This window comes from Homo sapiens, chromosome 12, assembly GCF_000001405.40.
Source record: "Homo sapiens chromosome 12, GRCh38.p14 Primary Assembly".
NCBI classification, from domain to species: Eukaryota; Metazoa; Chordata; class Mammalia; order Primates; family Hominidae; genus Homo; species Homo sapiens.
In genome coordinates, this window is record NC_000012.12 from 91,295,070 (window position 1) to 91,308,589 (window position 13,520).

General features: G+C 36.4%; 1 long non-coding RNA gene across 1 annotated transcript in view; it reads right to left on the reverse strand.

Annotated features, from left to right (window-relative positions):
- LOC105369896 (uncharacterized) overlaps nucleotides 1-13,520 on the reverse strand; it is a 361,170-nt gene that overhangs the window by 18,845 nt on the left and 328,805 nt on the right. The gene's annotated exons all lie outside the window — the stretch shown is intronic.

Consider the following 13,520-nt stretch of genomic DNA (forward strand, 5'->3'; position numbering starts at 1 on the left):
GGAGGGACCCAGGTGAATAAAGTCTGGAGTGGACCACCCCAGCAAACTGCAGTGGCCCTACGGAAGAGAAGTCTGACTGCTAAAAGAAAAACAGAAAGCAACAACAACAAAATCAATGGAAATAGTCCCACAAATATCCCAGCCAAAGGTCAACAGCCTCAAAGATTGAAGGTAGATAAACCCAAGAAGATGAGAAAGAATCAATGCAAAAACACTGAAAACTCAAAAAGCCAGAGTGCCTCTTCTCCTTCAAATGATTATAACACCTCTCCAGCAAGGCCACAGATCTGGGCTGAGGCTGAGATGGATGAATTGACAGAAGGAGGCTTCAGGAGGTGAGTAATAGTGGACTTTGCTGAGCTAAAGGAGCATGTTCTAACCCAATGCAAAGAAAGTAAGAACCATGGTAAAACATCACAGGAACTGTTAACCAGAATAACCAGTTTAGAGAGGAACATCAATGACTTGATGAAAGTGCAGCTTTGTTCACAATGCAAATACAAGTGTCAGTAGGTGAATACACCAAGCGAAAGAAAGACTATAAGAGCTTGAAGATTAACTTGGTGAAATAAGGCAGGCAGACAAGATGAGAGAAAAAAAAATGAAAAGGTACTAACAAAACCCTCAATAACTATGGGAATATGTTAAAAGACCAAACCTCCAACTGACTGAAGTCCCTAAAATAGATGAGGAGAATGAAACCAAGTTGGAAAACATACTTCAGGATATCATCCAGGAGAAATCTCTAATCTAACAAGACAGGCCAACATTCAAATTCAGAAAATCCAGGGAACCACAGTAAGATACTCCATGAGAAGATCAACTCCAAGACACATAATCATAGATTCTCCAAGGTCAAAATGAAGGAAAAAATGTTAAGGGCAGCCAGAGAAAAAGGCCAGGTCACCTATAAAGAGATGCTCATCAGACTAACAGCAGACTTCTCAGTGGAAACCCTACAAGCAAGAAGAGATTGGGGACCAATAATCAACATTCTTAAATAAAAGAATTTCCAACACAGAAGTTTGTATCTGGCCAAACTAGCTTCATAAGTGAAATCCTTTTCAGACAAGCAAACGCTGAGGGAATTCATCACCACCAGGCCTGCCTTGCAAGATTTTCTGAAGAAAACACTAAATATGGAAAGGAAAAACTGTTACCAGCCACTACAGAAACACACTGAAGTACCCAGACCAATGACACTATAAAGCAACTACATAGACAAATATGCAAAATAACCAGCTAGCATCATGATGACAGTATGAAATTTACACATAACACAATTAACCTTAAATGTAAATGGGCTAAATACCTCCAATTAAAAGACACAGAATGGAAAGCTGGATAAAGAGTCAAGACCCATTGGCGTGCTGTATTTAAGCGACCCATCTCACGTGCAAAAACACATAAGGACTCAAAATAAGGAGATGGAGAAAAATTTACCAAGCAAATGGAAAACAGAAAAAAGCAGGGGTTGCAATCTTAGTTTCTGACAAAAAAGGCCTTAAACCAACAAAGATTTAAAAAGACAAAGAAGGGCATTAAATAATTGTAAAGCATTTAATTAAATAAGAACTAACTACCCTAAATATATATACACCCAATACAAAAGCACCCAGATTCATAAAACAAATTCTTTGAGACCTGAAAAAAGACTTAGACTCCCACACAATAAAAGCGGGAGATGTTAACACCCCACTGACAATATTAGAAACATCGAGGCAATATTTTTTTTCTGTTATGAAGAGTTTTTTACTTTAAGTTCTGGGATACATTTGCAGAACAGGCAGGTTTGTTACGTAGGTATACATGTGCCATGGTGGTTTTCTGTACCTATCAACCCGTCATCTAGGTTTAAGCCCTGCATGCATTAGGTATTTGTCCTAATGCTCTCCATCCCATTGCCACCCACCCTCCGACAGATCCCTGTGTGTAATGTTCCCCTCTCTGTGTCCATGTGTTCTCATTGTTCAACTCCCGCTTATGAGTGAGAACATGTGATGTTTGGTTTTCTGTTCCCGTGTTAGTTTGCTGAGAATGATGGCTTCCAGCTCCATCCCTGTCCCTGCAAAGGACATGGACATGAACTCATTATTTTTTATGGCTGCATAGTATTCCAAGGTGTCCAAGGTGTATATGTGATACATTTTCTTTTTTTTCGAGACGGAGTCTCACTCTGTCACCGGGGTGGAGTGCAGGGCATGATCTTGGTTCACTGCAACCTCTGCCTCCTGGATTCAAGTGATTCTCGTGCTTCAGCCTCCCAAATAGCTGGGATTACAGGCACACACCACCACATCCAACTAATTTTTGTATTTTTAGTAGAGACGGGGTTTCACCATGTTGGCCAGGATGGTATCGATCTCCTAACATCGTGATCCAACTGTCTCAGCCTCCCAAAGTGCTGGGATTACAGGTGTGAGCCACCACACCCAACCCACATTTTCTTTATTTAGTCTACCATTGATGGGAATTTGGGTTGGTTCCAAGTCTTTTTTTTTTGAGATGGAGTCTCGCTTTGTCACCCAGGCTGGAGTGCAGTGGCACGTTCTCCGCTCACTGAAAGCTCCACCCCCTGGGTTCATGCCATTCTCCTGCCTCAGCCTCCCGAGTAGCTGGGACTACAGGCGCCCACCAACACACAAGTCTTTGCTATTGTAAATAGTGCTGCAATAAATATACGTGTGTATGTGTCTTTATAGTAGAATGATTTATAATTTTTTGGGTGTATACCCAGTAATGGGATTGCTGAGTCAAATGGTATTTCTTGTTCTAGATCCTTGAGGAATTGCCACATTGTCTTCCACAATGGTTGAACTAATTTACACTCTCACCAACAGTGTAAAAGCATTCCTATTTCTCCACAGGCTCACCAGCATCTGTTGTTTCCTGACTTTTTAATGATTGCCATTCTAACTGGTGTGAGATGGTATCTCATTGTGGTTCTGATTTGCATTTCTCTAATGACCAGTGATGATGAGACTTTTTTCATGTTTGTTGGCCGCATAAACGTCTTCTTTTGAGAAGTGTCTGTTCATGTCCTTCAGCCACTTTTTGATGGGGTTGTTTGTTTTTTTTCTTGTAAATCTGTTTAAGTTCCTTGTAGATTCTGGATATTAGACTTTTGTCGGATGGGTAGGTTGCAAAATTTTTCCCCCATTCTGTAGGTTGCCTGTTCACTCTGATGATAGTTTCTTTGCTGTGCAGAAGCTCTTTAGTTTAATTAGATCCCATTTGTCAATTTTTGCTTTTGTTGCAATTGCTTTTGGCATATTCATCATGAAATCTTTGCCTATGCCTATGGCCATAATGGTATTGTCTAGGTTTTCTTCTAGGGTTTTTATGATTTTGTGTTTTACATTTAAGTCTTTAATTCATCTTCAGTTAATTTTTCTATAAAATGTAAGGAAGTGTTCTAGTTTCTGTTTTCTGCATATGGCTAGCCAGTTCTCCCAGCCCCATTTATTAGTTAGGGAATCCCTTCCCCATTGATTGTTTTTGTCAGGTTTGTCAGAGATCAGATGGTTGTAGATGTGTGATATTATTTCTGAGGTCTCTGTTCTGTTCCATTGATCTATATATCTGTTTTGGTACCAGTACCATGCTGTTTTGATTACTGTAGCCTTGTAGTATAGTTTGAAGTCAGGTAGCATGATGCCTCCAGCTTTATTCTTTTTGCTTAGGATTGTCTTGGCTCTATGGGCTCTTTTTTGGTTCCATATGAAATTTAAAGTACTGTTTTCTAATTCTTCAAAGAAATTCGATGGTAGCTTGGTGGGAATAGCATTGAATCTATAAATTACTTTGGGCAGTATGGCCATTTTCATGATATTGATTCTTCCTATCCATAAGCATGCAATTTTTTTCCATTTGTGTCAAGGCAGAAAAATTAACAAAGATGTTCAGGACTTAAAATCAACTGTAGATCAAGTGGATCTGATAGATATCTACAGAACTCTCCACCTCAGAACAACAGAATATACATTATTATTGGCACCACATGGCACTTACTCTAAAATTGATCATATAATTGGAAGTAAAACAGTCTTCAGCAAATGGAAAAGAACTGAAATCATAACAAACAGTGTCTCAGACCACAGCACAATCAAATTAGAACTCAAGATTAAGAACCTCACACAAAACCACACAACTACATGGAAATTGAAAATCTGCTCCCAAATGACTCGTGAGTAAGTAATTAAATTAAGACAGGAATCAAGAAGTTCTTTTAAACTAATGAGAACAAAGAGACAATGTACCAGAACCTCTGGGATGCAGCTAAGCAGTATTAAAAGGGAAATTTATAGCACTAACTGCACATATCAAAAGCTAGAAAGATCTCAAATCAACACCCTAATATCACAACTGAAAAAACTAGAGAATCAAGAGTAAATGAACCCCAAAGCTAGCAGAAGACAAGAAATAACTAAGCTCAGAGCAGAACTAAAGGAGACAGAGACATAAAAAACCCTTCAAAAAAATCAACAAACCCAAGAGGTGTTTTTTGAAAACATTAATAAAACAGACCTCTAGCTAGACTAATAAAGAAGAAAAGAGAGAAGAATAAAATAAACATAATAAACATAAAAAAAGGGATATCACCACTGAACACAAAGAAATACAAACAACCATTAGAGTACTATAAACATCTCTATGCAAATAAACTAGAAAATCCAGAAGAAATGAATAAATTTCTGGACACATACAGCCTCCCAAGACTGAACCAGGAAGGAATTGAATCCCTGAATAGACCAATAACAAGTTCTGAAATTGAGACAGTAATAAGTAGACTGACAACCAAAAACAGCCCTGGACCAGATAGATTTACAGCTCTATTCTATCAGAAGTACAACTATTCCAAATAATTAAAAAGAAGGGACTCTTCCCTACTCATTTTATGAGGCCAGCATCATTCTGATACCAAAACCTCGCAGAGAAACAACAACAAAAAACTTCAGGCCAATATTCCTGATTAACATTAATCCAAAAATCCTCAATAAAATACTGACAAACTGAATCCAGCTAATCCAGGACAATCAAATTGGCTTCATCCCTGAGATGCCAGGCTGGTTCACATACACAAATAAATAAACATAATACATCACATAAACAGAACTAAAGAAAAAAAACAAATGATTATCTCAATAGATGCAGAAAAGACCTTCAATAAAATTTAACTTCATTTCATGTTAAAAACTCTCAAAAACTAGGAACTGAAGAAGCATACCTCAAAATAATAAGAGACATTTATGACAAACCCACAGTCAATATCATTCTGAATGAGCAAAAGCTGGAAGCATTCCCCTTGAAATCTGGCACAAGACAAGGATGCCCTCTCTCACCACTCCTGTTCAACATAGTTTTCAAAGTTCCAGCTAGGGCAATCAGGCAAGATAAAGAAATAAAGCATATTCAAGTAGGAAAAGACAAATTCAAATTATCATTTTTTGCAGATGACATGATCCTATATCTAGAAAACTCCATCATCTCAGCTTAAAAGATTCTTAAGCTAATAAGCAACTTCAGCGAAGTGTCAGGATACAAAATCAATGTGCAAAAATCAGAAGCATTGCTATACACAAACAATAGAGAAGCAGAGAGTCAAATCATGAATCAACTCCCATTCACAATTGCTACAAAGAGAATAAATTAGCTATGAATACATCTAACAAGGAAAGTGAAGGACCACTTCAAGGAGAACTACAAACCACTGTCAAGGAAATCAGAGAGAACACAAAGAAATGAAAATAATATTCCATAGTCATGGATAGGAAGAATAGATATCATGAAATGACCATACCACCCGAAGTAATTTATAGATTCAGTGCTATTCCCATTAAATTACAATTGACATTCTTCACAGAATTAGAAAAAAAAACTATTTTACAATTCATATGGAACTACAAAGGAGTTCATATAATCAAGACAATCCTAACCAAAAAGAACAAAGCTGGAAGCATCACACTACCTTACTTCAAAATATACTAGAAGACTACAGTAACCAAACAGCATAGTACTGGTACAAAAACAGACACATAAACCAATGGAACAGAATAGAAAACTCAGAAATAATACTGCTTATCTGCAACCATCTGATCTTCAACAAACCTGAAGAAAACAAGCAATGGGGAAAGGAATCTCTGTTTAATAAATGGTTCTGGGAGGATTGGCTAGCCATATGCGGTAAATTGAAACTGGCCCCCTTCCTTACACTTATACAAAAATTAACTCAAGATAGATTAAAGACTTAAATGTAAAACCCAAAACTATAAAAACCCTAAAAGAAAATCTAGGTAATACCACTCTGGACATAGGCACAGGCAAAAATTTCATGACGAATATGCCAAAAGCAATTGCAACTAAAGCAAAAATTGACAAATGGTATCTAATTAAATTAAAGAGCTTCTGCACAGCAAAAGAAACTATCGTCAGAGTGAACAGACAACCTACAGAGTAGGAGAAAATTTTTGCAATCTACCTATCTGACAAAGATCTAATATTCAGAATCTACGAAGAATTTAAACAAATTACAAGAAAAAAAACTCCATTAAAAAGTGGGCAAAGGGCATAAACAGATACTTCTCAGAAGAAGACATTCATGTGGTCAGCAAACATATGAAAAAAAACCAACATAACTGATCATTAGAGAAACAGAAATCAAAACCACAATGAGATACTCTCACGCCAGTCAGAATGGCAAATAAAAAAACAAGAAACAACAGATGCTGGAGAGGTGGTGGAGAAATAGGAACACTTTTACATTATTGGTGGGAATGTAAATTGGCTCAACCATTGTGGAAGACAGTGTGGCAATCCTCAAAGATCTAGAACCAGAAATACCATTTGACCTAGCAATCCCATTTCTGGATATATACCCAAAGGAATATATTCATTCTATTATAAAGATACATGCACGGATATGTTAAATTCAACACTATTCAAAATAGCAAAGATATGAAATCGACCCAAAAGCCCATCAACGATAGATTGGATAAACAAAATATGGTACATATATGCCATGGAATACTATGTAGCCATAAAAAGAAATGAGATCATGTCCTTTGCAGGGACATAGATGGAGCAAGAAGCCATTATTCTCAGAAAACTAATGCAAGAACAGAAAACTAAACACATGTTCTCACTTATAAGTGGGAACTGAACAATGAGAACATATGGACACGGGGAGGGGAACAACACACACTGGGGCCTGTCACGTGTGGTTGGGGAAGGAGAGCATTAAGAAAAATAGCTAATGCATGCTGGGCTTAATTGCTGGGTGATGGGTTGATAGGTGCAGCAACCCACCATGGCACACATTTATCTATGTAACAAACCTGCACATCCTCCACAAGTACCCCAGAACTTTAAAATAAAATAAAATAAAATAAAATAAAAACTTTTAACACTGCTTTATTGTTCTGGTATGTTGTATCTTTGCTTTCATTAGTTTCGACTAATTTATTGATTTCTGCCTTAATGTCATGGTTTACCCAAAAGTCATTCAGGAGCAGATTGTGTAATTTTCATTTAATTGTATGGTTTTGAGAGAGATATTTGGTATTAACTTCTCTTTTTATTGCACTGTGTTCCAAGAGGATGGTTCATATGATTTCAGGGTTTTCTTTTTTAAATTTGTTAAGAATTGCTTTCTTGCTGAGTGTGCAGTCAATTTTAGAATATGTGCCATGTGCAATTGAGAAGAATGTATATTCTGTTTTTGTTGAGTCAAATGTTCTGTACATGTCTGTTAGCTCCATTTGGTCAACTGTTGTGTTTAGGTTCCATATATCTTTGTTAGTATTCTGCCTCAATGATCTGTCCAATACTGTCAGTTGGGTATTAAAGTCTCCCATAATTATTGTGTGGTTATATAAGTCTCTTTGTAGGTATGTAAGAATGTGTTTTATGAATCTGGGTGCTCAGTGTTGGGTGCATATATATTTAGAATAGTTCAGTCTTCTTTTTGAGTTGAACCATCCCCAAGACAGGTAGTCATCAGAGTCTCCAAGACCAATGTGAAAGAAAAAATATTAAAGACAAGTAAGCAGAAGGAGAAGTTCACCTACAAAGGGAACTCCAGCAGGCTAACAGTGGACCTTTCAATAGAAACTCTAAAAGTCAGAAGAGATTGGGGGCCTATGTTCAGCATCCTTAAAGAAAAAAATTCCAACTGAAAATTTTATATCTGGCTAAACTAAGCTTCATAAGCTAAGGAGAAATAAAATCTTTTTCAGACAAGGAAACACTAAGGGAATTCAATACCACTAGACCTGCCTTACAAGAGGTCATTTCCATACTAAACACAGAAATGAAAGACTGGTACCTGCCACCACAAAAACACACTTAAATACATAGACTATTGAAACTAGAAAGAAAATATACAATCAAGTCTACATAATAACCAGCTAACAACACAATAAAAGGATCAAATTCACACATACTCATGTTAACCTTTAATGTAAATAGGTTAAACATCCCACTTAAAAGGCACAGAGTGGCAAGTTGGATAAAGAAGCAAGGCCCCACTGTATGCTGTCTTCAAGAGAACCATCTTACATGCAAGGACATCCATAGGCTTAAAGTAAAGGGATAGAGAAAGATCTATCAGACAAATGGAAAGCAAAAAAGAGCAGGGGTTTCTGTTCTTATTTGAGACAAAACCAACTGTAAACCAACAATGATCAAAATTACAAAGAAAGGCATAAAATAATATTATTTTAAATTACAGGCTTTTGAAGTTGCAATGGTCCCAAAGTATCCCAAGGTTCAAGCACAGATTCCTTCTATGACTCTCCTGATGCAACAAGGATTGGTCAAGCTAGTGAAATTCCACCTAAAATGCTCAATCCAACCTGTTGCCCAAATGAATCTGCCTCCTACCATTCCTCTGCAGTCAATGATTTGAAGAGTCCTAGAGAAAAACGCTCAATCTGAACCCTACTTTCTTCCTTTTCTCAATGATCACTAGCTTGCTTTGGCTATTTTTATGTTTCTTCTGAATAATACAGTAGACTTCTCTCCAGACTTTTTATCTGTAGTTTTCCTCATAACACTAACCCTTCCAACACATTCTGCCAAAGTTATTTTTTCAAATACAAGAATCCAAGCTTCTCACTTTTCTCTTTAAATAATTTTGATGTTTCCTTAACAACTACAAGAAAAAGGCTAAAGATCTTAGTGTTATAAAATAATAATGTTAGGAAAGTCTCTCCAAATGCATTTCTCTCTATCATTCTGATCTTCTAACCAACATTCTGCCAGCATTGCTCTCCCCCAAAAAGAGATGCCTTCCTCATACTCTTTTGCATTTGAATATGCTGTTTCTTTTGTGGCAAAGCCTTTCTAATTCTGTTCTGTTTGGTGAATCCTAACTCATCCTTTAAGACGCCACTCAAGTGTCACAAGCTCTGAAAAGTCCTTTAGGCAATAGCTGTTCTTCATTTTTGTCTCCACAGTACTGTTCAGAATTCTATTTAGCATGTATCAGATTGCATTTTACCCATCTCACTACATACCTGACTTCCCCCTCAAGTTATGAATTCCTCCAGGATAGGGATGATAATCATACACCCACAATGTCAGGTTCATTTTCTGGCATGGAGGAGTTCAGTGTGCCCTTATTCTAGGACTGCAAGAACAACTGAATAAATGGAGTTCTTCCACAGAAATAAGGAGTCTTCACATTCCTGAAAACCTCTTGTTAAAACTTGATTAAGTAAGATCAGAAAATAAATCATGGAGATGCCTTTTTACTTTGTTTAAAGAAGATATACCATGAAATTCTGTGGAAATTCAGTGAAAAATGACATTCAATTTCCCTCCTTTCAATTGTGGGCTAAATAGTATTGCCAATACTGTCTACTCTTAAAAACTGAAAATCTGTTTTTCAGACTGCAAAATATCTCAAATTCTTGACTCCTTCTACTGTTACTAAATCAAATTGCATTTTGTTTTCCACTTAAATTTTCATTTTACTCCAGGAGTTTTTAGAGAAGCCACTTGTATTAGTGAATTTGTGTTCAAAGTGCAAATTCTGCTGCCCAGTTTGTTATATCATCCCCTCCTATAGCTGTGATTTATCTATTACATTCATGGTGTATCTTCTAGATAATTAACATTTATAGGTAGTAGAGTAGAGTATATATCTATATATAGAGAGAGAAGGAGAGATATATTTGAATCTTATCTCATATGTATAAATTCCAGGTGAACGACCTGATGCTTAGAAAGTCTAAGCCACTTATTAGGGTGGACAACCCTCCTGGTTTGCCTGAAATAAAAAGAGTTTCATAGATGTAGGACTTTCACTTTTAAAACCAAAAAAATCCCAAGGAAATCCAGCAGAGTAGGTCACTCTATTACTTATTTAAGTTCACACAATAAGTAGCAGATACAAAGGCCAAATTGAGTTCTACATATGCCCCAAATTCTATATTTATTCCACATGCTGCCACCTTGATTTTTATTTTGCCCGTAACATTAATTTCCACATTGTTCATCATAAGATACAAAGTTTTTAAGAGCAATACACAAATGGAAGAGTCTAGTGAAATATTTTAACAATATTTTAAATTATGAATTAGTAGCACAGTTTGCTTTCAGCTGTAGATGTCATCTTCCATTTACATGCCACAATTACTAGCTAATATTTTGCAAATCACTATGTTATAAAACTTAGAAAGTCAAAAAATAACAGATGCTGACAAGATTGTGGAGAAAAAAAGAACACTTATACACTGTTAGTGGGAGTGTAAATTAGTTCAGCCATTGTGGATCACGGGGTGGCAATTCCTTAAAGATCTAAAGACAGAAATACCATTTAACCCAGCAATCCCATTACTGGGATTTATGTACCCAAAAGAATATCAATAATTCTATTATAAAGACACATGCATGCACATATTCATTGATGCACTATTCAAGAGAACCAAGACATGGAATCAACCTAAATACCCATCACTGATAGACTGGATTAACAAAATGTAGTACATATACACCATGGAACACTATGCAGCCATGAAAAAGAATGAGGCCATGTCCTTTGCAGGGACATGGATGGAGCTGGAGGCCAATTATCCTTAGCAAACTAACACAGGAATAGAAAACCTAATACCACATGTTCTCACTTATATATGGGAGCTAAATAATGAGAATGCATGGACACAGGGAGGGAACAACACACACTGGGGTCTACCAGACCCCAGGGAGGTAGGGGGAGAGAAAGGATCAGGAAAAATAACTAATGGGTACTAGGCTTAATGCCTGGGTGATGGAATAATCTGTATAACAAACCTCCATGACACAACTTTACGTACATAACAAACCTACACATGTACTCTGAACTTAAAATAAAAGTTTTTAAAAAATAAAAAGAAATTTATCTAGTTACTAAGAGACTAGTTGTTAGGACTCTCAAATTAGACTATCACTCCCCTATGAAAATAAGTAGTTCTTAATTCTTGTGAACCTTCATAAAGTTTTTAATGTCCCTCAATGGGCTTCCATTTTTTCCCCAAACCCACCCCTCCAATTTCAATTTTAGAAATATTTAAGACATATGGAGGAAGGGGGGAAAATTATTGTACTTTCACTGATTTGAAGAGAAAGTGAACAAGTTAATGTTTGGGTTGTGGGACAGAGTGTCAAGACAAACTGGATTAAGAGATGATAAAGGTTGAAAGATGATGTCATGTATCACGGAATTATTCTAGTAATATTCTCCAAAAGATATCTGGACTTATGTATTTTCTCTTGTGAATGTTTTTCACCAAGCTCTATGCATTTATAAAGAAATATGGTACTCTTTCTTGCATATGATTTATAAATCTTCAATTTTTTATTACTTTCTCTCAAATTATACTTGATAAAATGCTACTGATGTGACTATATTTCCAATTAGTTTTTGACAATAATGCAGAATTCAAGTGTCCTAATATTTAAAAATTAACATGAATGAAAAAATTGGTAAAGGATTATACATTCATTTAACAAACAACAGCATAGTAATGAAACACATTTTAAACCAAGGGTTAAGGACCTTGCATATGTGTTTTTATTGTACTTGTGATTATCTAGGTGACTCTAAGAAAATCACATCATAATTTTCTCTTTTCAGTTTTTCTGTCAGCAAAATGGGAAATAAAATAATTGCCTTACTTTGTCCATAGGCATGGGAAGAGATTCAGCTACATGATCACAATGCATACTAGGAAGGAGAGTATTTGCTAAATTTGAATGAGGAGAAGAAACATAGAAACCACAATACTTCATGTATAGGTATTTCAAAAGAAACAGCTATACATGAATTCCAAGAGAAATTGAAAGACTTTGAGGCAACACAATTTGGGCACAGATCACAAAACACTTGAACTCACTGAGGTGATTTTCATGTATCCTCCAGTTTGCATATATGTAGTTTGCCAGTGCCTCTTACACTTTACTGTGTAAAAATATTACCTAGAGATCGTATTAAAATGCAGATTATAATTCAGAAAGTCTGCAGTTCAACTTGACTGTGTGCATTTTTAAAAGCACTAGAGCAATGTTAATAACGCAAATAAAGGAATCACACTTTGAATAGCAATGTAGAAGGCTACTTGTTTCCACAGTATTAGAGGGATGATGAAAATAAACAGCCCTATGACATAGTCCAGAGTCACTGTGACATACTAGACATTACAACAAGGGACTGGTTTGAAATTTGGATAGGAGGTGTCCTATTCCATTCGGCTTGCTATTGTATATAGAACACAAGGGCAACTTTTTATAAAGGCCATAAACTAAGCAGTTTATAAATAATAGAAATGTATTTCTCATAGATTTGGGGGCTATGAATTCCAAGACTGAGGTGCCAGCAGATTCAGCATGTGACTAGGGCCCACTTTCTGGTTCACAGATGGTGGCTTCTAGCTGTTTCTTCAAATGATGGAAGGGAGGGGTAAGGGGAGGTCTCTCTGGCACCTCTTTTGTAAGACACTAATCCCATTCATGAGGCCTCTGTACCTATGACCTAATCACCTCCCAAAGGCCTCAATTTCTAATCACATCACCTTGAGGGTTAGGATTGCAACATATGCATTTTAGGGGACCACAATATGTATACCATAGCAGAGGTATATTAATTTGAGGTAGTAACATGACAAGGGAGTTCCCCACAAAAAAAAAAAAATCTGGTAAGAGATAGCCAAGTACAGATTGGGAAAAGCTTCAGATAATTTGTAATTGAAAAAAAGTCCAGGGTATGTAGAACACAGGGGCAACTTTCTAAATGAAAACACCAAGGCAGAGAGTGTAATGCACAAAATTTGTTTGGAGAAGAACAAAGAATAAAGAAGGTGAGCAAACTTCTCAATAATAAATCAAAATGAGTAAAGACAGATGCAGCTGGATCAGTTTCAAGGGCTCAGAATGAAAGGGGAACTTTAAAAACTGAATGGTAACATCTGTACGATGCAAAGAAGACCCAAAAACTATTAAAAGGAAGGGAGACAGGATGAAAAGCTTTCTCAAGGGAGAAGTAA